We start from the raw sequence: 24,880 nt of genomic DNA, 5'->3' as shown, positions 1-24,880 counted from the left end.
TGAAATCATCTGAAAAAAATTTTTTTTATATAAGGGCTGGGTATATTTGTGCCATGACAGTCCCCTCCCTGGATTAGGCTAACGGAAGTGAATTGTTTAAAAATAGCGCCCAAATTGATGTGAACTCTTTTCCCTAGTCTTCCATAATAACTTTGTGCAATCGATGAAAAAAATCAAAGACTCCTGTCCTTCCTGCTTCAGAGATAGATTTTCTATCAATATGAGTGTTATAGTCTCCATTTGTGGGAGGAAACAGGAGTAATTATATCTCTTTTCTAAGATCTACGGTAAGCATGTTTTAAAATGAGAGAAACAAAAAATTTGCTTTCCAGATTACCTACCAAAATCGATAAAAATTACTTATTTAAAACATTAACAATTTCCTTCTCACCATGACTTTGGGCCAATATACATGTTGGAAATTATGGGTTCAATAGAATGGCGGGGGGATATTTCTATGAAGTCCTTTTTTTTTGGAAATAGAGTCTCACTCTGTTGTCCAGGCTACATGCAGCATAGTGGCACAATCATGGCTCACTGCAGGCTTGACCTTTTGTACTCAAGTGATTCTCCCACCTCAGCCTCTGGAGTAACTGGGACTACAGGCGTGTGCCACCAAGCCCAGCTAATTTATGTATTTTTTGTAGAAACAATGTCTTTCTATGTTGCCCAGGCTTATCTCAAACTACTGGGCTCAAGAGATCCTCCTGCCTCGGCCTCCCTAAGTGCTGGGATTATAGGCATGAGCCACCACACCTGGCCATGACTTATTTTAATATTTTTTAAAATGTCCAAATGTACTTGTCAACAAACTCATTGCTCCAATGATGTTCATTGATTGATTGTCATTTTTAGAACTTTCCTTTTGGAGTATCCTTGGGAATCAGTTTACTAGCCTTACAGTCAGTCCTGTAAAAGACATGCTCACATTCTGAGTCCCAGTAAGTACTTATTACCACACCCGTCATCTTAGTAAATCATGCTTGATCTGTTTCTGGCTTAGGAAATGAATCGATACCGCTCTTGGTGCAGCCTCTTATTCGGTTATGACTGGGTTGGGATTCCGCTGGTTTACACCCAGGTAAGAAATACTTTTCATGGAATTCTTTATTTCTACTTGCCTACCTTGGCACTGTAGCTTCGCTGCGGGAGGCCAGCACTGTCCCCTCACTCTGGTCTCTCTCTGTTCCAGGTTGTCACTCTTGCTGTCTATACCTTCTTCTTTGCGTGCCTGATTGGACGCCAGTTTTTGGATCCCACCAAAGGCTACGCAGGGCATGACTTGGATCTTTACATTCCCATCTTCACCCTCCTACAATTCTTCTTCTATGCAGGATGGCTTAAGGTAGCCAGTGGTCTCAGGGCCCCACTTTGTAATGTGTTATGTTCCAGACTCTCCACACTAATCCTTTACTGAGTCTTTAGCAAATCATTCATGAGTGAGTCAAAGGTAGATTTAACATGTAATGGCTCAGCAATGTTATTACTTTTCTGCCAGAGATTCAGAGATTCAAGTGACAGGGATAGAAACAGCTCATTTGTGCAAAGACATTAGAAGAACACTCTTATGGCTATTGATTCTCTTTTAAGTCTCTGTGTGTTCCCATTAGGATTATAATAATGTAACTAAAGTAGTAAGTGTACTTGCATTGATATTGTATACCACAACAAGCAACTAGGCAGAGTAAAAGAGTCAACAAGAAGCCTTGTAAATCAGACTTAACCATTAATATTGTAGTAGAATCTTGGTTCTGCTCAACTCTATAGTTATTGCAATTCCCTGAAATTCTGCTAGGTGTCCCACAACATTAAGTGTACCCCATTTTCTTTTTTTTTTTTTTACTTTCCCTGAGACAGAGTCTTGTTCTGTCGTCCAGGATGGAGTACAGTAACGCAATCTCAGCTCACTGCAACCTCCGCCTCCCAGGTTGAAGCAATTCTCCTACCTCAGCCTCCCGAGGATTACAGGCGTGAGCCACCGCGCCTGGTCTAAATGTACCCCATTTTCAAAACCAGAACTGAGACTCAGAATTCATCAGAATCAGAACCAGAAACACCAGAAACAATGACAACATCTGGTTTGCCAGGGAATTAAACAGGTTCAGGAGGTGAGAATGGTTTGCCTAACTATCTGTGTAGAATTTTCCTTGCTTCCCCTCCCTTCACCACCACCTCCTCAAATGTATGTGTGTAAATATCAGAGACCTGATTCTTCCATCACCTCTGTAAACTTCCAAATGGGAAGTATGTGATAGAAAAAAAATCAATGACAATGGCTTCATTAAGTTCATTCAAAGGCAATGATGATATGCAGATGATATTCGTAAAGTAGAATTTTCAAATGTTTGGCCTTCCAAAGAGCCATACCTTGTCGTGACCCACTGGGGCCTTCAGGTTGCAGTGAAATTTTCCCTGCAGAAGCCTTTCCTTTCATTGGTTTGACTCTTCACCAAAAAAAAATAATATGTTGATATTTCAAATTATACTCCAAAGAGTAAAGCCAAGTCCCTTACAAATGGCAAAAGAATTTTTAATCAGATTACTGTGATTCTTAATTATTTCTACCTGCGTAAGAGCAAGAAAGCAGAAGAGACTAATGACTTTCATTTTCCATTAGAGGAAAAAGTAGACTTTAGCTTTATAAATATAAAATCACCACAGTGGCCCAAATAATCATTCTCAAAAAGTACTTTTCTTTCTTTCCCCTGACTTGCACCAAGTTTTTATTCTTTGTTTTGTCTCCATGTAAGGTGCTTGACCAGCCCATAAAGAGCAGATAATGGTTCCTTCCCTCTGACATGCTTTCTAAAATATTTACATCCTTTTCCTTTATAAACTGTTTTAAAATCAGGTGCGGTGGCTCATGCCTGTAACCCCAGCACTTTGGGAGGCTGAGGTAGGAGGACTGCTCAGGAGTTTAAGACCAGCCTAGGCAATATGGCGAAACCCCATCTCTACAAAAAAAATACAAAATATTAGCAGGCATGGTGGCGCATGCCTGCAGTCCCACATACGTGGGAGGCTGAGGTGGAAGGGTCACTTGAGCCCAGGAGGCCGAGGGTGCAGTGAGCCATGTTCACACCACTGCACTCCAGCCTGGGTAACAGAGCAAGACCCTGTCTAAAATAAAAAAAATAAATCTTAAAAGACAAAATATTAAAAGGCACAATCTTAGCTCCATTAAAGGATAGGCAAACCTGCTGGGTGTGGTGGCACACGCCTGTAATCCCAGCACTTTGGGAGGCTGAGGCAGGAGAATCACTTGAACCTGGGAGGCGGAGGTTGCGGTGAGCCGAGATCAAGCCATTGCACTCCAGCCTGGGCAACAAGAGCGAAACTCTGTCTCCAAAAAAAAAAAAAAAAAAAAAGGCAAACCTAAACCATGGGTTGTGCCTCCATTTCTAAACAGCTGTTCTATCTCAACAATTAGGATATTTATAAATGTTTTCTAAGTGCAGAAAAGCTATCTTAACCTTATGAATAGTATATCACTCAGTTACTTGCTGAAAATGCAGCCCCCAGTGGAATAAAAGATATATTTTGAGATTGGTCAATTCAGAATCATACATGCCATTTTGTCAATTTAATGTAGACTACGATAATACATGCAGGACTGATTGCATAAAAATGAAAATCTGGATGGAATAAAAATAGGTTTCAGGACTCAACCAGTACCCTTAATTAATCTAAGTAAATCTCCAGGCAAGAAAGGGCAGATAGCCCCATGGAACTAGTGACAAGAACTTCAACATAGATATCACTGTGAGGCTTACTGATTCAGGGCACAGACCTGCCCAAGGAAAGGCACTTAAAATAAGAGCCACATATGAAAATCCTCTGGGAGCTTTACCTGACACTGATGCCTGGCCTCAACCTCACACTGCTTAAATCAGAATCTCTCGGGGAGGGACCCAGGCATCAATCGGGTTTTTTTAAGAGCTCCTCGGGTGATTTTAATGTGCAGCCAAGGTTGAAAAACACTGCTCTAAGTATTAATACGTTGACTTAAATCCTAAAAGATAAGTAGGTAGATTTTCTACTGAATAGTTTCAGAATCTAGAATGTTTAGACTCTAGAAACTAATCACATGGTGCCTTTATTTTACACATTTAAAATTTTTTTCCATCTAGACTCAATGTAAAATCTCCCTCTCCCCCAACTCTCTCCCTGTCTCTCTCTCTCACGCACACACACGAGCATGCACGCATGTCCAGATAATAAAAACCAAGGGAAATTTTTCAACAAGGAAAATGATAGATGAGTTGTATTTTATACATAAACCTCTCATCAAGAAGGCTATTCAATTCAGGAACATGATAAGAATATTTAATATTGATCAAATATTAAAAGATTTGTGACAATAGCTACCTAACATTTTCCCGGCAGGAAAACTAACTTACTGGATAAGAGTAAATCCTTTAGGGTAAAAACTAGGTAAGCCTCAATTTCCAACTTTAGGACTTACTAGCTCTCTAACTCATTTACTTAGCAGTTATGTTCAATAACTGTGAAAGCTCGGCCAAGCACAGTGGCTCACACCTGTAATCCCAACACTTTGGGAGGTCGAGAAGGGCAGAACACCTGAGCTCAGGGGTTCAAGACTAGCCTGGCCAACATGGTGAAACCCCATCTCTACTGAAAAAAAATCCAAAAAAATTAGCTGGATGTGATAGTGCTCGCCTGTAGTCCCAGCTACTCAGGAGACTGAGGCAGGAGAATTGCTTGAACCTGGGAGGCAGAGTTTGCAGTGAGCCGAGATTATGCCACTGCACTCCAGCCTGGGCAACAGGGCGAGACACTGTCTAAAAAAATAAAAATAAAAATAAATTGTGAAAGCCTCTTATATTATTTTCTTTAAGTGTGATTTAAGTCTTTCTTTACTGTTTAACCTTCTCCCTGTGTACATTTTGTCTTATCATCTGGGCCCTGTAATTCCCTGAAAGCATAGCCTGTGTACCCTTCAGAGTGCCTTGCAAATAGCTGGTTCTCCTTCACTATTCAGTCATTTGATTTGGCTCCTAAATAGGACATGGCTTCCCCTGATAGGGCCTGCATTGTCACCAGTTGAATGGACAGATCCATTTGGAGAGCATACCTACGAAGGTGCATCATTCATGGTTTGAGAATCATGTCTTGCTCGCTAATAAATATCTCGGTAGAACAATCTACTCCCCTCTACTCTTCGTATTAGAAAGTCACACAAGGAAGCAGAGAGGAAAACAGGAATCATCTTCAGTCTCTATTCTGAGTTTTCACAGGTATCATGATGGATTTATTTTATGTTCTCAACTACAGGTAGCAGAGCAGCTTATCAACCCTTTTGGAGAAGATGATGATGATTTTGAAACTAACTGGTGCATTGACAGAAATTTGCAGGTTAGAGGAATTTTTCTTTCTTTTTCAAATGTTAATAATAAATCACTTGCGATATTTCAAATCTAAGCAGATTTCAAATGCACACCCCTTGGCTTCAGAGCTTTAGCCACAAATGAAAGAGGCTTGGCTGTGCACTGTGCTGTCTCAGGTCCTTTCAGAAGCTTACACATCCGAGATTTCAGCTCCAGTGAAATTTAGTTCCTTTTAAGTAGAATTTCAAGCCAATTTTCTTTGTAAGCCCTCTATTAGCTTTTTCCAGCCTCTTTCATCTCAGCATAGAGCAGTATTTTAAATTGTTCTTTAGTCTGTTTTCTGTTGCCAACCAGAGAGGTTAATAGTGACTTAAAATGGCATCCAGACACAAGCTGGTGGGAGTTCCCAAAGTGGTATCACGTCAATCCCAGCAGTCAGATAGCCACCAGCTGGACACTGGGAGCCTGGGCCATGCCAGCTTGTGTCTCAAATCTGCATGAAATGCACTAAATGGGCCCCAGGGCACTTACCCTGAAGCACTATTCCAGAGAGCTTTTCATGAAGAAACAGCACTAAGGAATTTTCCTTTTAGGCAAGACTCTCCCTAGACCATTCTCTTCCCTGTGAAGGCCTTCACATTTTTCATTTGTTTCAAGCCCTTACTCGGCAGTTAAGTAAGTTCAAACATCTCACAGTAGATCCCAATGTCAGTCTCTTAGGGAGGACGCATAATGCCTAGGTCACTCACTTTGTCAAAATTGGAATCCCAGAGGATTAATAATGTATTCATGCATCACTTTGTCAAAGCCAAGAGGAGAGAGCACCATAGCACTGAGCAGTATAGACTTCTTGTTATGTTTTTCCAAACAAAGAAATGAACAAGAAACCAGGGCATATAAGAAGTGATGTCAAGTAAAAATGTGTTTACAGGGTTAACAGAATGAAAAGCGGAATCTTCACCTTCCTGTAATATTTGGGGTTAAGTAGGTGCTATCAGGTAAAACAACACCACAATTGTGAGCAAAGAATAAAAAGATGGCTCCCCTCCCTCCAGCTAAGAGGCAACTCCACTCTAGAGTGTGTGGTTTGATCCCGGAGTGTGGGAGGCTTCAAGCCCCACTTATCCTCATCGCCAAGTGCTCTCGAGTAGTAAACAACAGATACAACTCTCTGTGGCAGCTGTGGTCATGGCAAGTATGAACTACAGACATTTGTATATTCACTCATTTAGACTGTGTCCTAGCCCAATCTAACTCTCATCTGCCCAAAAAAACTTCTCCTTTTTATTTAATTTACATCTGAGTTATTCTAACAATATAACAATGATTTTAGGTCTCTCTTTTAGCTGTGGACGAAATGCACATGAGCTTACCCAAGATGAAGAAGGACATTTACTGGGACGATTCTGCTGCTCGCCCACCATACACATTGGCAGCTGCTGACTACTGCATACCCTCATTTCTGGGGTCAACAGTCCAGATGGGGTAAGTGCATTTTTAAAAAATCTCTAATATTTTCCAGCCTGAGCAACATAGTGAGACCTTGTCTCTATAAAAAAAAAAAAAGAAATAAAATAATTTAAAGTAGCCAACTGTGATGTCACCTGTAGTCCTAGCTACTTGGGGAGGCTGCAGTTGGAGGATTGCTTGAGCCCAGGGGTTCAAGGCTGCAGTGAGCTGTGATTGTGCCATTGCACTCCAGCCTGGGTGACAAAGTGAAGCCCTGTCTCAAGAAAAATAATTAATTAATTCACGAAAATTAAAATAAATATCTCCAATATCTAGGAAATGAACAGATAGATCACTGTTCTAATCTTTTTACCTTTTTTGGCATTTTTTTCTACCTAGGCTTAGTATGTAAGTCAGTCTCTGTTCAGTGGTTTTAACACAGCAATCACCCCTAAGTATAATGAGCTTTAAATAAATGAGTTGAGGCCTGAAGTAAATCAGGTACAGTTCTATAATAATTTCATTAAGTCTGAGCATGTATTTGATATTGGAGAAGTGTGTGAATGTGGGAGAAGTTTAAGTATATTTGCTGAAGGCAGATGCCACAGTTTCCAAGTAAATTAAAGAGAAAAGCACAGACTAATTCAGAAAGTAAGAAACTCTCCACTCAAAAACAAAACAAAACAAAACAAAACAAAAAAACTGTAGCAAAAGGGGAAACTTTTGTGGAATTTTTCTTATAATTCTTGGCAAGACTGTGGCTCATAGTTCCCTGAGGCCTGCTGTAAGCGGATTTGTGCAGTGGGTTTGTGTCCTGTGGTTGCTGCCTATGACCCTTCTTTCCCTCCTCCCTGAAGTGGCCTGCCCTCCTCCTTCTACTTTCAGGAGATCTCGCTTCAACCCTGTTCCCTTTGCCGAATGTCTCCTAATCCCCATCAGTGATGGTTTGTGGCACTTCTCTTCCAAAGGGGCCTCTGAGGCTGAAAACCTTTCCAGACCCAAAGAAAAGGAAGACTGAAAGTGGAATTTCAGTAGTTCCAGCAAATAATGAGAACGATTTAGGAGCCAGGAGATTTGCCTTGTTGCCCGCAAAGCACATCTTAGAGAAGGTTGCCTACTCCAGGCTAGATTTGCTTCTGCTTCTAGCTAGCCTTCTAAGACCAGACCCACCCACCCAGGGCTCCTTCCAGGCCAGAGAGCTCATCCCTGCCCTCAGTGTATTCTCAGTTTCCATGGATAGGAATCTCTTGTTGTATGCATGTCTCAGCCTTCATGATACCTTCTGCAGGGGCAGAGCTTCATGGACATCCAGCAATCATCTCAATTTTCAGAATTAATAAGAGCTGTTCTTCTGTGAGTTTGATTTTAGATAATTAAATATGCTTTATCCTTTTCCTCACTCTCACCATTGATTAATGCAAAGTACTTGACGATTTAACTTGAAAAGAAAAGAGACCAGCAATACTGATAGAATCAGAGCATCATTGTGATAACTCTATTTAGACTGCAAATGCTCCAAACACTCTATTTCTTATGTCCATTGAGTTGTTGTTACCCCATGGTTAAGATAATTTTTTGAAGGTCTCAAAATTTTTATCCTGACCTACTTATTTATCCTAATCATCATAATTCTGCAGATTACTACATAAATGTTCATGTTCTTTAGCAAATATTAAAACACATTTCTCTTGTTTCTAAATACAGAAACAGAAATAGGGATTGACAAGATCTCAGAGAAAATTCCTTCCCCAAAAGATCATTGGGAAGATTAGATGAGATTGTAAACATTAAGATGCTCTATATAAAATCATAGAGCATGATGATTATTATCACCTAGTCAAGCTTTATTTGTGGATGTCAAACTGAAGCAGAGAAAGATTAAATCACTTTAAGCTATTCTTCATATTAAACTTACCCTGGAAATTTGGTACAGAAAATAAAACAACTGAGAGAAAACCAGGAGGTACAATATTTAAAACTGCAGCAAAAAATTATCAGTTGTCAGAGAGAAGTCCTCCAACTAAAATGGCCTATTTACCAGCAGGATGGAGAGAGGAACAGACAAAGGCCAGAACCTATTGGGAGAGGGTTTTGTGAGAGGTTTAACTCGATCTGCTAGAACCAATTGTTCAAAGAAACAATTAGGCAAAAGCTCACTTGATCTTGATTTTCTGTATAAATGAGGACCATTAAAGTGGACCACAATCCAGGAAAATTTACTGCAGGAAAATAGGCGATCAGAAGCCCTGAGTTGATAGAAATGGCCCCCTTTGGATTTCTTAATGCCTATTTTTCCTATGATTGTGGTATTAGAAAAAGTGTTTCTGGTTGCCTATGACAGAAAACCAAATTCAAACTTTCTTAAGCTAAAGGAGGTTTATAGTTTCACATCCAGAGACGAGCCTAGCTTTGGGTGTCACTAGATCCAGAGGCTCAGAGAATGTCACCAGGACTCACTGTTGCCCCATCCCTCTCAGGTCTGCTTTTCTCTCCACTGGCTCAGGTTTCAGGCAGGCTCTCCCATCCTGAGGGCAAAAATGGCAAAATGGCAAGCTCCAGGCTTACAGCTTACCTTCTCAGCTAACCTATGGAAAGAGCACATCTCTTTTCCAACTCTTGAAACTGAAGTGATGGATTTGCTATGACTGACTGGGCTCGGGCTCACATATCCATTTCTGAGCTAATTACTATCAACAGGGAGACAATATTTTGACTATTCATGGCTGGTTTATAGGTCCATCTTTGAACCAAGGGTTATAGTCAGCCCCGTCCAACCATATGGAGTATGTGATATCTCAAGAAAAAGCAGGGTGCTATTATCAGAAGGGTGAATGGTTTCGCTGGGCTAGCAAAAACAATAGATGTTCTCTAAAATCATAGAAGATAATTCCCTAAGCAATGAATGGTTCCCTCACCAAATACAAGGTCAATGTCAAATGAGCCACCTGACTGAGGCTAAGGGCAAGGGGAAGGTAAAAGTTAAGAACTGTAGCACTGGTGGTCTTGTTGGTGCTGACTGAGCCAATGAGCTCTTTGCATGAGAGTGAAGATCACGTGTCAAGATGCTGTAGACACAAGCATTACATTTTATAAAAGTGCCTGCCTCTTGGTGACCATATAAAATCCTTTCCTGGATGAGATTTTTTTAAATTTTCTTATTCTCTTTAAGGTGTATGTTCCCAGCATATTTAATTCAGAAATCAAATTTTCCTTACCTTTTCATATCAATGTTTTGGGTTTGTAGCCACAATTCCCATAACCCGGATATTCTAAAATCAAAGCAATATCCTTCAAGAACAGAGCAAAAGTACTACTCTCCAAGGGCCACCTGCAAGAAGACCTGCCTCCCAGCCAGCACATTCAACAGCGCTGTTCACATTCAGCACACTGTTCATTTCCACTTCAGAAGGAAACTCCTTGGAGACAATGTCTTTATTCTCTATATTAAGGGACATGTTCAAAACATGGCCCTATTTTCTGCATATTTACCAAATATATATAACTCAAATAAATTAATTTTCCTTCTTTCTATCTTAAGCACAAATTTAAAATATATTTTCCCTTGGACCCTCACATACAGAATGTGCTCGTTTATTTATTCTGGTAAATCTTTTTCAGGGCCTACTATGAGGTAGGTTCTATGCCAGATGCTAGAGGTAGTCAAAAAAAGAAAAGAAAAAAACACCTCCCAAGCTCACAGATGTAAGGTGGAGAAAAGTGACATTACAATGTGGTAAATGCTACAGTGGAGAAACGCTCAGCCTTATGGGAACACACGCAATGAAGACACACTTCACCCAGCCTGGTGACTCAAAGAAAGCCTCTTGGAGTCAGGGACTCTAATATGCATCCTTAAGAATGAGTTAGGAGGCGGGCATGGTGGCTCATGCCTGTAATCCCAGCACTTTGGGAGGCTGAGGCAGGTGGATCAGTTGAGGTCAGCAGTTCGAGACCAGCCTGGCCAACATGGTGAAACCCAGTCTCTACTACAAATACAAAATTAGCTGAGCATGGTGGCACAGCCTGTAATCCCAGCTACTCAGGAGGCTGAGGCAGGAGAATCGCTTGAATCCAGGAGGCAGAGGAGGTTGCAGTGAACCGAGATCGCACCGTTATACTCCAGCCTGGGCGACAAGAGTGAAGAGCAAAACTCCATCTCAAAAAAAGAAAAAAAGAATGAATTAGGAGCCAGTGCACAGATAGAATTGAGGGGATTCAGCAGAGGGCTCATTTCAGGCCAATATGGGCAAAGACAGAAAGGAATAATAAATAGTATACTCAGAGTAACAATTTGATAGGCAAAGCAGAAGAGCCAAGAAATGAATCTGGAGAGGAGGCAAGGGAGAAGATGGAGGGTTTTATAGGCCAGGTAAGGGTTTCAGCCATTATTCAAAGCTATTAAGTGACAGGGTCACATTTTTGCTTTGGAGAGATTAGCCTGGCAGCTGGCTGAAAGACAGATAGCTGAGGATAAGACCAGAGCCAGAGTTAGCAGGCTGTTGTCATTTAAACAGGAGAGGATAAGGGCCTGAAGTAGGTGTATCACAAGGGATGTAGACGGTAGAGGTGACAGAAGGGACAGATTCAAGAAAGGAGAAGGAGTGAAGAACGGTAATAAACCAAAGATGAGAGAGTGTAAGGGTGAAACTGCTCTAAGGAAAAGATTATGAGCTCTCCCTTTTGCATGTGTTGAATTTGAGGCCTCTATGGGCAATTCACATGGAGATGGCCAGCATGCAGTGAGTCCAGGGACAGAAGATGCATTTTACTGGTATCAGTACGTAGAACCAAAGAGTGGGTGGGAGCAATCAGAACAGTATCAAGGAAACAGAGCAGAATACGAAGGGTAGAATACTATTACTGAAAGGGTGGTCAGAGGAAAAGGGTAGTCAGAGTAGGAATGGTCAATATAGATGCAGAGTAACCCAGAAAATGCCCTGCCAAGAGGCCAAAGGTACAAAGTTTCCAAATAAAGCCTGAAAAGCATGCCATAGGTTTTGCATGTTAGGGTCATCAGAGGCTTAAGTGAGAGTGTGGGGTAGAAATTAAACCATAGTAGGTTAGAAGTGATTGATAAGTAAGAAGGTCAAATTGCCAGTGTAAGCTGTTTTTAAAAAATAATTTTATTGTAGAAAAATTCAAACCGGGCCAGACATGATGGCCCACGCCTGTAATCCCAGCACTTTGGGAGGCCAAGGCAGGCAGATCACTTGAGGCCAGAAGTTAGAGACCAACCTGGCCAACATGATGAAACCCATCTCCACCAAAAATACAAAAATTAGCCGGCATGGTGGTGCACACCTGTAGTCCCAGCTATTTGGGAGGCTGAAGCAGGAGAATCACTTGAACCCAGGAGGGGAAGGTTGCAGTTAGCCAAGCTCATGCCACTGCACTACAGTTTGGGTGACAGAGCGAGACCTTGTCTCAGAAAAAAAAAGAAGTTTAAGCAGTTCCAAAGGTAGAGAACAAGCTATGAAAAAGCTCCATGTACCCATCACCACTTCAATTATCAAGTTACGGCCAGTCTTGTTTCATTCTCCACCCGCCTTTATCTTCCCCACCATTTGATCATGGTAAAGCAAATAGATCATAATGCCATTTTCATACTTAAAAAAACAAAAATAAAACAAACCCAAAACGCATATAATTCCTCAATTCATTAAGTATCCATGGACTATGTTTTTGAGAAGTCTGAATTGATGGGGTAAATAGACCAGACTGTATTCACTAAGAGACAGGGACTCTGGTCTGTTTCCCTCCTCAATTCAGACTTCTAGGGATGGCTTTTTTGTTTTGTCTTCAGTAAGGCTAATGGCATATTTTTTACTTGCCTTTTTTTTTGTTTGTTTTTTTGTGTTTTGTTTTGTTTTGTAGACAAGGTCTCTCTCTGTCACCCAGGCTGGAGTGCAGTGGCATGATCTCAGCTCACTGCAACCTCCACTTCCCGGGTTCAAGCAATTCCCCTGCCTCAGCCTCCCAAGTAGCTGGGATTACAGGCGTGCACCACCACACCCAGCTAATTTTTGTATTTTTAGTAGAGACGGGGTTTCACCATGTTGGCCAGGCTGGTCTTGAACTGCTGACCTCAAGTGATCCGCCCACCTTGGCCTCCTTAGAATTATCGTCACCACCTATACTGAATTTCACTTTGCTGCTGTACCCTGGCCTTGTTTGGACAGAGCCATTAAGACTCCCTCTGGTGTTCGCTGTAGAGCTGTCCACTGTGTGACTTGGCATCCCTTTTACTGAATTTCACTTTGCTGCTGTACCCTGGCCTTGTTTGGACAGAGCCATTAAGACTCCCTCTGGTGTTCGCTGTAGTGCTGTCCACTGTGTGACTTGGCATCCCTTTTACTGAATTTCACTTTGCTGCTGTACCCTGGCCTTGTTTGGACAGAGCCATTAAGACTCCCTCTGGTGTTCGCTGTAGTGCTGTCCACTGTGTGACTTGGCATCCCTTTTAGCAGAGGACTCACAGGAGGAAATGCATTTCAGATGTTGGTGGCGAAGAAAGAAAGCTTTGCCTCTTCTGGGCAAATCTTACGCTATTTATCTTACAAACTTTATAATTGTATAATTAATGATGGTTTCCTTTTCATTTTGGCTGCTGGGAAGCTGACAATCAAATTTGTAGCCTACCTTTACTAAGTCTGTGGAATGGGATTTTTTTGGAATGTATTTCTAGAGTCTGTATCTTTTATCATTGTTTCTTATTCTACCTCTACTATATTGGCTTGATTTTTTATATTATATATATTTATATAATATATAAATATAATATTTTATATGTTAGATATAGTATATAATATTATTGCATTGTATGTATTTCCAGAAGGCCACATCAAATCCTTTGTAAGATGAAGCAAGATGTGATAAAGAAACAAATTAACAACTCTCCTTGTTTGGAAAAAGGAAGGAAAAAAGACAGGCTGAGCAAAAGGAGCCCACTGGAAGAGAGGAAAGACACAGGAGCAAGGGGGGATGACAGAGCAAGGTCCTAAAGAAGTCACAGAACTGGCCCCGGGTGGCGGGGGGAGGTCCCAGTGCCTGAGCTACAGGGAAGCAGTTGAAGTTGGATACAGTAAGGGGAGAGGGGGAGATGGTGCCTGTGCAGCCAGGAAAGCAGGAACCAATGTTCTTGCTTCATCTAGTCATCGTGTCTTAATCTAAAGGAAGCTTTAACAGAGCTCATCTTTCTCTGTCTAATCTGGGACCAAAGAGCTACTGTTTTAAAATTGCATTTTATAAGCTTTAACACCAAACCAGTGCTGAAGTTCCGTCTCTTGATCTTTGCATGGGGCATGTTAAAAATCAGCTTCAAAATCAACACTCCAAATGAAAAAAGGCCAGTTAAAAATCTGAATGCAGTCCCCAAAATAGAAATGCTTTCATAAATATGCCAGTCTTGAGCATTTACTAAATAGTGATAATTATTGCATGGCCAGTAATCTACACTTTGCCATTTTATGAGTTAATAAGCAATGAAAAAGTATTTCTTGTGTGAATTCTTTTACCATTATCTCATGTGGGATCCCTTCAGTTGACTCTGTTTTGCTTGTTCTTTTGTAATACTGCGGAATCCTTTCTAATCTGCTGGAGTTTTGTTCTTGCTTTTGTTTGGTTTTTGCCTTTTGTATTTTTGAGACAGGGACTCCCTCTGTCACCCAGGATGGAGTGTACAGTGGTGCAATCACAGCTCACTGCAGCCTCGAACTCCTAGGCTCAAGCGATCTTCCTGCCTCAGCCTCCTGAGTAGCTGGGACTACAAGTGCATGACACCATGCCTGGCTTTTTTTTTAAGAGGCAAAGATCTGGCTATGTTACCCACTCTGGTCTTGAACTCCTGATCTCAAGAGATCCTCCCACCAAGGCCTCCCAAAGTGTTGGGATTACTGGTGGGAGCCACCGTACCCAGCCTTGATCTGCGTTTTAATTAAGGCATCTTTTCATTAGCTTAACTATGGAGATGCTATTAACCAAGATCGAGAAAACACCCACAAGTAGCCAAAAGAACATTGTATGTAAGATGCACAGCGAGGAAGTATACCCAAACCCTAATGTAATAATGAGTTTTCCTGGGACAATAATAAACACATGCATGATAAAAATAACTTTACCCAAAGAAATTTTAAATGCTTAAATTCAAGCCAGTGTTGCTGAAAATAATTTTTAAAAAAAAATGAACAAAAATCAAGGTCCAGAACTATCCTGTCACAACTGGCTTGAGGTAGAGTTAGAATGCCTGTCTTCACATTATATCATCATAAGTCACTTCAAAATTCTTACTATCTTTCAATTACTTGGGATTACCCATTAACACAAATGTTTAAGACTCTGAGGAATGAAACACAGAAATTTAAGACCTGAAGTCTCATAATGCCCTTTAGTCCTATCTTGAAAATCAAAACACCCAACAGTAAAGAAGATAATCCCTTAAGGGCCTTGGAAAAACCCTAACAAACTATCCATTCATAACAGCTAAAGGATTTGAAATTCTGGAGAAGAGAGGCTGTAACTGCTTATGAAATGGATCACTCAAGTGTGTCCAGAGTGCTTGCTCTAACTGTCTTGCTAATCTAAAAGCATGCTCCAAGCCTGTAAACTTTAAACTGCTGACTGTAATCCCATTTAAAGAGCTTTGTTTTATTGGGCTCTTCTGCTATAATTCAAATAATTATGTCAAAATGTTCTCACATATATAATAATCTTAAAAAGGGGGTCTATGAAGCCAATTAAGGATCCACTTAGTAAAGAGGAAAAATATTCAAAATTTTAAAGAGCTCCTTCTGGCTAGGGGTTGAGGAATTTATTTAAGACGTATTTGGTACTATGAAACTTTGTCAGAAATAATAATTTCTACTTATCTATCTTTATTCGAAAAGTTCTACGAATATGTAACATGATTTTTTAGTAATTATACAAACATGCAAATGTACTTAATGTGCACAAAATATTTAGGGTTATACAGTAGGTCAGAAATATTTTTAGTGATATTAATTCAAATATACCAAAATACATATTTTAGTAAGTGAAGACTTTATTAAAGTGTGGTTAAATATACTTCTATGTTGATGATACTTAGTAATCCTTTTTAGTCAACTATATTCAAATATTTTAGCTTTACAAGAAAATACGTAGTCTGATACATACAATTGCATGCTTATATTACAAACTACCAAAAATATCTCAAATTCTGAATTACTAACTTCAACAAAAGTGTATTCTGGGAACATTGATTTTTCACTTAATGTACCAGAAAGGAAGGAGAAATGGAAACTTCCAAGGAGATGAATGTGCATTAAGTTTATAATTTTAGAACTTACTCAAGGATTCTTTCATACTGTGATGTGAGGTCACCATGGGCAATCAGTTTTCATCTTTAAATGGTATCAGATGTGTACATGGATTGATTTCCTTTTTTAACAAAATTCCTATAGAATATAACAATATTAAAGAGGGAACTTTAAGTGAACCCCCACTTTTGGCCATAACTTCTTTTTGTGTCAGCCAGCAAGAGCCAAGAGAACATAACCAGGGTGGTAGGATGTAGCTAGATAAGCCTCTTTAAAGGCACAAGAGGCCACTTCTTCAACCAGATTTGCCAAAGCCCTTGGTTCAATGACCAGATAGGCCAACACGGGTAGTAGTGGGGTCATCAGCCCTAAATGCAGCTTTCTGGGCTACCTTCTAGGATGCTCTGGAGCTTGGAACTGTCCACCTGAAAGAGGGTTGAGGGAGGCTGGATGAATACAATATTTGGTCCACTGGATTTTCCTCATAACCCTTAGCCCCACACCTCCCAGCTCAGAGGGAGGGTTGCCTTGCCCATTTTATAAATCCTTGGCTACAGCTTTGATGATGATTCTGCAGTGCAGATGGTTAAAAATAGCCGCATGCGCCTCAGATGGGTTTGAAGAGTACATTTTGCTTTGCCCATGAAAAAAATGCTTCTCCACACATGTCTCTGCCCTGATAGATTCTCAGGCAAATTATCGGCTCCCTCCAAGGCAGTCGCCTGACTGTGAGTACACTAGCAATTTGAAAACAATAAATCTGCAGTGAGAAGTAGAATTCATCATACTAAATATCATTTTCCTAAATTCCTCATTTCAATTCTGTTAAAAAGGCCTCTTATTATTCGAATTAAAATTGTCAAAATACCGCTTCAAAAGTAGAGCAGAGAAAGAGAGACAAGCATCATCCAGTTTTATCTTTCAATCTTTTTGAAGCTCTATATTTACCTAATCACTCTCGTGAGAAGGGGGTTGCTTTGCAAAAAGCTTTCTTTGGAGAAATGCATTAAATCCTTCAAGCAATCAGGGCTATTTTTGTCTTTCTATATTAGACACACCCCAACAAGTATGGCAGTCTGCTGACATCTTCATCAGCCTGTTTCTTGCCTCTTTGTTATGGCAGCAGAGGGTGAAGCATGTTCTTCTGCACCCCTGACCAGCCCAAGCATCTTTTAAAGTTTCTAATTAAATCATGGCTGCTTATGCCCTTGGATATTTGTCATTTGCAAGGGAAACCATGGGGCTGATGTTTGTGTAGGTATTCCATATGTATTTTGAAATTTGGGTTTTTTATTAACACTTGAGATTAAAATAATTTTAATCCAGACATCTACCTAACCTGTGGAAATAATGCATGCTCTCCCTTCTTCTGGACTCAACTATAACTAACCAGCCTGACTGGCTTAAGATAACCTTTTCTCTTTCTCCTTCTTTTACTCTTCTCCCTTTCAAAAATAGACCAATATGTGACACAACCGTTCTCATTCTCATGTTTTCTATATTTTTGTATTGATGGTTTCTATTGCACAATAAGTGTGTATTGCAGGGTTTGATGATGTTTGGAAAATGGCACAAAAAAAAACAATATTGAGAGGCAAGGTCAGGGCAGTCTGTCTCCACAATTTTCACCATTGGAGCAGACCTCTCTTCCTTCCCTCAAATAACCCAGCTTCTTCCAGTTCTTATATTTCCTCTTCACCCACCCAGTGCCCTATCATTAAATGGCTTATCATTAAATGGCTAAGTCATCCCTTTTGAAGGTGTTGTTAAGTGATATCTCCTAGGTGTAGTAACATTTTTAAAAGGACAATCTTGAAGAAGAAAAGGGAGTGACCTTCAGACACACATTATCATCTCCTCCAACCCTGTCTGAGAAGTCAATGATAACTTGGAAACCACTTCTGAAAGTTTGCCAGTCATTGACAGAGTCCTTTTTACATCTTCTACTTTCAAAGCTTTTCTACACAGGTCACCCCTTTTGAACTTTCAAACAACCTAAAAGGCAGGTAAAGGATAATTATCACCAGCTTACCAAGAATGATGCTAAGTCACAAGAGATTAAATGAGTCCCCAAAGATCACACAGCTGGTTGGTGTCAGCATAGACACAGCAATCCTGGCTCTGCAAGCTCTCAAAATAAATTATTTTTCCCACCACAGAGACAGTGCTCAAATTTTATCCCTGGAAACTGATGGCCGCATGACACTTTTCATGAATGTCCTCCTATCTCTAATTACCTGCCTCTCTCAGTCCAAATAAGTTCCAGAACATAAAACCTAGCTTTTTCAGCTGACTCTCCCTAATACATAGGAATATAATGAGGGTACTTTTATTCTATCGTATAATATTTCTGCTATTAGTTGGTTAAGTGGTATTATATTGAGCCTCAGGATTGTACTAACCCTAGACTAAGAGGACACTTTAAATATCAAATAAGGAGCATAAAAAAAAAAATAAAAGAAACTAAAATTTATACTCCAGCCTCCCATTTGGGAAATACTCTTTCAAACTATTCTAAGGCTGAGTGTGGTGGCTCTCGCCTATAATCCCAACACTTTGGGAAGCCAAGACAGGAGGACCACTTGAGGCCAGGAGTTCAAGACCAGCCTGGGCAACATAGGGAGACCCCATCTCTACCAAAAATAAAAAATTAGCCAGGCATGGTGGTGCACGCCCACGGTCCTAGTTACTTGGGAGGCTAAGGTGGGATGATCACTTTAGCCCAAGAGGTCAAGGCTACAGTGAGCCATGATTGTGCCACTGCACTCCAGCCTGGGTCACAGAGTGAGGCTTTGTCTCTAAATAAATAAATATATACGTATTCTATTTTAAACTATTTTGTTCTTAAAGCACAGCTTCTGCTGTCATATTGGGAATAGTGGCTACCAGAGAAAGGAGGAGATGAACAGTGTGTGTTGGCAATGAGATCTTCCATGGAAGCATTTAGAAGAAATGTCTTTAGGTTTGTCATGCTGGGGAGTTTCCCTACTGCTCTGTTACAGCATTAAGACCTGGAGGGCATCATTCACCACTCAGTGTAAGATACTTAAAACTGCCCCCCAGAGCACTGATCACCAAGCGTGCTTCTAAAGACCCTGTTTCAGACTAAAGGAGTGAAAAGTTTTCAAGTCATGTTTCTTATCTAAAGCAGTCATCAACGTTGCTTTTTGTGTACCCTTCCACCATGGACACCCCTACCCACACCACACAACCCTAGCAATGCCCTCCATTCTCAAAGACAATCCACAGCTGCCCTCTGTCTCCGGGATAAAGTTCACATCCCACAACCTGGTATACGACTCTTCATGGCACGGTCCAAGGACCTCTTTCCAGCCTAGGCCTGACACTTTTCTGTGTGTTTCACACAGATTCAAGTATCTCCTATTTCTCACAAACACCCTAAACTTTCCTGCTGCCTTATTTGTTCAAGTCACTTCTTTCACCTGGAATGCTCTGTCCCTTTTCTATCCATCCAATTCCCACTCAGTGTCAAAGCCTAGCTCAAAAACTTGCTTTGCCCCAAATGTAAATATTTATTTATATGTCTTCTCTCTCCTTTTAAGTGATAATTTAAAAGGTACCTAATGCAACAAATTGTTTATGATAAGTGCTCAATAAATTTAGTCGGGTGAATAAACAGATAAACCTCATGCATCTACTCCATAGTCTTATGAGCCAGGAAGGTACAATAGGGTCTTCTTGGCAGACCTACCCAATGTCAGTTATGAATCAGTCCAACATAGCAAGAGCACCAGACGTTTTGCAGTTTGCTTGTTGCAACTTGTCTATTTTCCCCCATCTATGACCCAGGAGTTTATACCTCTTGCTGCAGTTGAAGGTATAATACATATGTCCTATACCAGGGCATAAGGTTTTTGTCTTTTGAGTCACAAAGTTTGAAGTATTAAAAATATAAACTTTTTTCCTAGAAGACTGTCTTTCTTACAAGATTGCAACCTTTAGAGGTAGTTTAAAAAAACAAATCCTAAATAAATAGTTGAGATCCCAAATGGAAGACAGACGCCTGTCCTATATAGAGAGATTGCCAGCTTGTCCTTGATTCCCAGAACACATCCAGAGTGGCTGTGTTAGTGAACAAGTTCACTTGTGGCTCCTCTGGTGTCCTCCTCCCTAACTAAATGGGTGCCTGTGGAGTGTGACTGGAGAGCTGACCAAATGCAATCCACCCAGCAGGGTCACCAAGGCCACTGAAGCATGAGTCTGCATTTCTCAAGTCGATGTAATAGAATCTGACCCTCACACAGTGGAGGGTGGGTCAGAAGGCTATCTGGTAGCCAAGGGCGCTGCTGAGGCTTTAGAAAAACAGCACAAGGTTGTAATCGAACGCCGTCCCAGGACATTCAGCCAGTTAATCATCTCAGTCATCCATGTTTTATTCATAAACATGAGGAACGACGTTTCTTTGGCTGCTTGCTTTGCCCTTTCAAGTTACACCAATATTATACTGTCCCAATGTTCTCCTTCATGTCACATAAAATGCACCCGGCATCTTGTCACCAGAGATGTCACTACCAATAGTGGACTGGGACCAGCTGGTTACTGTTGCTCCCAGAGCTAGCATGATGAGCATTTGTAGTTCAAGGGCAAGGCTTTAAGTTGTTCTTCAAACCCCATTAAGGCTGTAATTCCACAGAGATGTGTGGCAAATAACTATGTAATCCGAGGCCAGAGTAGACCAAACTACCAAACAGGCTTATCTCACCTCAATTATTCATTTTATGTCAGTCCTGAAGGAGATTTAAAATGGTAGGTTTGGCCAAGTGTGGTGGCTCATGCCTGTAATCCCAGCACTTTGGGAGGGCAAGGTGGGCAGATTATTTGAGGTCAGGAGTTCGAGACCAGCCTGGCCAACATGGTAAAACTCCCTCTCTATTAAAAATACAAAAATTAGCTGGGTGTGGTAGCACCCACCTGTAATCCCAGCTACTGGGGAGGCTGAGGCATGAGAATCACTTGAACCTGGGAGACAGAGGTTGCAGTGAGCCGAGATCACACCACTACACTCCAGCCTGGGCGACAGAGTAAGACTCTGTCTCAAATAAATAAATTAACTAATTAAATGGTAGAATTATTTGTTTTATTTTTTAAATGGTAGAAATTCAGCAGGAAATTCTTGGTAGCCAATCCATCAAATTTTATCACAAGCAGAGCCCAATCGCGATGCAAGTTCACCCTAACTGGATGAATATATCCTTTCCACAAGGTTCCAATTTCTCTTTTTTTAACCCTAATTGTACAGACATAAATGCAAAGCCTTATCAGGAATGTTTACAAATTACCTCTGAGCAAGGACTGTGCTTTACTCACTATTCCACCCTGGGCTCTAGCTCATCCCTTGACCCCTGTGTAGTAGGCTTTCCATCAAAGGGATTAGGAGCAAGGGCTTGGAGCCAGACTTCCGAATTTGCTCTAACTAGCTACGTACATTTAGTGAATCTCTCCAGGCCTCAGTTTCCTCATTTGTAAAGTGAGGATACTAATACCTCACTTTATAGTAATACAGTAATACCTCACTGTATTGTAATGATATAATACTAATACCAACTCATCTAATTATTGTGATAACTAAATGAATCAATGCATAGGAGGTGCTTAGCTGGGCCTTAGTATATAGTCAATAAATGTGAGCTGGGCATCGCACGCTCGTGAATTTACCTATGATCCATTGTTAAGGGGGGTTTTATGGGTCCTTGGGAAACTTGGCCTTAATTCAACTGTACTAAGGGAGAAAGAACATATACTAGATGACAGATAGATAGATAGATAGACAGACAGACAGATAGATTCATAGATATAGATATATAGATATTTCTTAATGTCCAAGTCTCTAGATCGGTGATTCTCAAAGTGTAGTCTGGGGATATCTGGGGATCCCTAAGACCACTCCAGAGAGTCCTGAAGGTCAAAAATGTTTTCATAATAGCACAACATGTTATTTGCCTTTTTCATTCTCATTCTGTCAAGAGTGTCCAGTGGAATTTTCCAGAGGCCACAAGATATGTGGTGATGTCATCACTTAGCAGTCAACGGAATGTGTGCTTGTACGTGCTTGTGTTTCAGACATTCCACAGTTATAATTTTAAATACAGTAAAGAGTAATAGATATAACCCACATAAGCAAATCTCTTTGGGATACGCAATAATTTTTAAGAGTTTAAAAGGGATCTGAGATCAAAAAGTGTGTGAGCCTCTGCTAGACTATCTCAAGTCCTCAAACCCCCATTTAAAAAATCTATAAGGCAAAAATACCAAAGTCATCTCTTAACTTTGAGACTCTGCCCCCAAAGCTAGGCCCCCGAAGCTACTCTGCCTGGATCTTGTCATTGTGTGTTTCAGGCTGTCTGGGTCCGACTTTCCTGACGAGGAGTGGCTGTGGGATTATGAGAAGCATGGCCATCGGCATTCCATGATAAGAAGAGTCAAGCGGTTCCTGAGTGCCCACGAACACCCCTCCAGCCCCAGAAGAAGAAGCTACAGGAGGCAGACAAGTGACAGCTCCATGTTCTTACCCCGAGATGACCTCAGCCCAGCCAGGGACCTACTGGATGTGCCCTCAAGAAACCCCCCCAGGGCCTCACCCACCTGGAAGAAATCCTGCTTCCCAGAAGGAAGCCCCACGCTGCACTTCAGCATGGGAGAGCTGTCCACCATCAGGGAGACCAGCCAGACAAGCACTTTACAGAGCCTGACCCCACAGTCCAGTGTGAGAACTTCCCCCATCAAAATGCCACTGGTACCTGAGGTATTGATCACAGCAGCCGAAGCACCAGTGCCCACATCAGGGGGCTACCACCATGATTCCGCTACCTCCATCTTGAGCTCTGAGTTTACAGGGGTTCAGCCAAGCAAGACTGAGCAGCAGCAGGGCCCCATGGGATCCATCCTGTCTCCCTCAGAGAAGGAGACACCTCCTGGAGGCCCCAGTCCCCAGACAGTTTCAGCCAGCGCTGAGGAAAATATATTCAACTGTGAAGAAGACCCTGGTGATACCTTTCTAAAAAGGTGGAGTCTTCCGGGATTCCTGGGGTCCAGCCACACTTCCCTGGGAAACCTAAGTCCAGACCCCATGAGCTCTCAGCCAGCTCTTTTAATTGACACAGAAACATCCTCAGAGATCAGTGGGATCAACATTGTGGCTGGCTCTCGAGTCTCTTCTGATATGCTGTATTTAATGGAAAACCTGGACACCAAGGAAACAGATATCATAGAGCTGAACAAGGAAACTGAGGAATCACCCAAATGAGTGCCACCAAGTTCTAGGACCTGGTTCTAGCCTAGATTCTTACCTCCCCAAAAGCAGCATATTAGGCCCAGGACATACCTGAAGGCTGGTCGACTTTTTAAAAAACATGATCACACTGTATAAGCTACTTAGAACTTTGAAGGGCATTATGATCCTGACTTTTTGAGAGCTGCGAAAAATCAAACGCATTCACGTCATCCAACACAACATGGCTTTCATCAGAAGTTACACAGACCACAGTGATTTAGCCAAATAAGTCTTAACCAAAAAAAGGAATCTGAAAAACATACATGACTTATAAATTCATAGATTATTAGTTGTGGAAAGAGTCTCATAGATCATAGTCCAATCCCCTAGACCCAAAGGCCCAGACACGCAGGGTTCTCTATTTCTCTTCTTTTTTCTCTTTCTTTTTTTCTTTAGCCATAAAGAAAGGAGATGGATCACCTAATGCCTGAAAGATCCCCTCCTTCCTAACGTTTTTGTTTGAGGCTTTCTAACCATCTCATTCCTACTTTTATAACTATTATTGTTATTATCACTTCCTGATTCTTAAGCTTCATCAGCACCAGAACACTTAATTCTCTTCAATTTCCTTTTTTACTTTTCTCTCTTTTCCTTTTATTCTGTCATCCTTTTTTTCCCTTCCCTTCTCCCTGGTTGTGCTGCTTTTCTAGTAATCTGTCCCATTTTTCAGGTTATAATATTTCCTCTTGCCAAATCTGTTGCTTATGTCTTGCCATGAATTTCAAAATATAAGACATTGGCAAAGCCTCCTACAGAATCATCAAAGGTGTCAACAAATCCAGCCTGATACCCTTCCAGTCTCACTTCCAGTGGAAGGCATATAGGAGTGATGGTTCCCCCCGTGCCCTTGCAGCCATTGACATTTCTTTCTGCTTCCACTATTTGGTGTTGGGCACTGGAGAAAAACGAAGCCAAGAGAATATGAAATTTGCATAGCCAAATGCTATGGAACCAAAGAATAAGATGACTCACATCTGTTTAACTTGAACTCTTATGCAAAAATCCTAATCGTGTCGCAACACGGGACCAGTTACTGTGTCTATCGGGTCATTTGGGAATGGGCAGGATACTGGAGCTGGGAGGCTAATGGGGTCCAGAGCTGCATAATGGGGATCGGATGTTGGTACTCCTCCCAGGGAGCTCTCAGGACAGCTGTTTGTCGTGGGCTCCCAAGTGCCTAGGCCATGCCTTACGACTGCTGCACTTACCATTTGTCATATGATGGCACTTGACTACATATGGCTTTAGAAATAAAATAACCCTCAAAACTACCATTTATTGAGTGCTTACACTGTTCCAGGCAGCAGCGAATCTTATGAGACTGATATACTGTTATTTCCATTTTAAAGACGAGAGAAACAGGCTTTAGAGAAGTAAGGTATTTGCCTAAAATCACATAGCCGAGAAGTGACAGTGTTCATCTTCAAACCCAGGTTTATCTGACTCAAGAGCCCACACTGTTAACCACTATGCTTTCTCACTGCCCTGTGCTATGTGTA

The 24,880-nt window shown here is 41.2% G+C and overlaps 1 protein-coding gene and 1 long non-coding RNA gene across 15 annotated transcripts in view; one reads left to right on the top strand and one right to left on the bottom strand.

Moving 5' to 3' along the window:
* Window positions 1-24,880, bottom strand: part of LOC105369823 (uncharacterized) — a 64,494-nt gene that overhangs the window by 10,816 nt on the left and 28,798 nt on the right. The window lies entirely within an intron of this gene.
* Window positions 1-24,880, top strand: part of BEST3 (bestrophin 3) — a 55,796-nt gene that overhangs the window by 21,043 nt on the left and 9,873 nt on the right. For 8 of the 13 annotated variants that reach the window (XM_047428378.1, NM_001282613.2, XM_047428376.1 and 5 more), the window contains 5 exons: window positions 1,004-1,081; window positions 1,193-1,345; window positions 5,296-5,376; window positions 6,682-6,833; window positions 22,448-24,652. In XM_047428378.1, coding sequence (XP_047284334.1) covers window positions 1,004-1,081; window positions 1,193-1,345; window positions 5,296-5,376; window positions 6,682-6,833; window positions 22,448-23,354 — 1,371 coding nt within the window. In that variant the 3' untranslated portion in view covers window positions 23,355-24,652. Of the gene's footprint in view, window positions 1-1,003; window positions 1,082-1,192; window positions 1,346-1,896; window positions 2,109-5,295; window positions 5,377-6,681; window positions 6,834-7,682; window positions 8,192-22,447; window positions 24,653-24,880 lie in introns of those variants that run through there. The other 5 variants (XM_047428380.1, NM_001282614.2, NM_152439.4 and 2 more) reach the window with 5 other exon arrangements.

Source organism: Homo sapiens, chromosome 12, assembly GCF_000001405.40.
Source record: "Homo sapiens chromosome 12, GRCh38.p14 Primary Assembly".
NCBI lineage: Eukaryota > Metazoa > Chordata > Mammalia > Primates > Hominidae > Homo > Homo sapiens.
The sequence above is the reverse complement of the archived record's forward strand: the minus strand, read 5'-3'. Positions and strand labels throughout refer to the sequence as shown.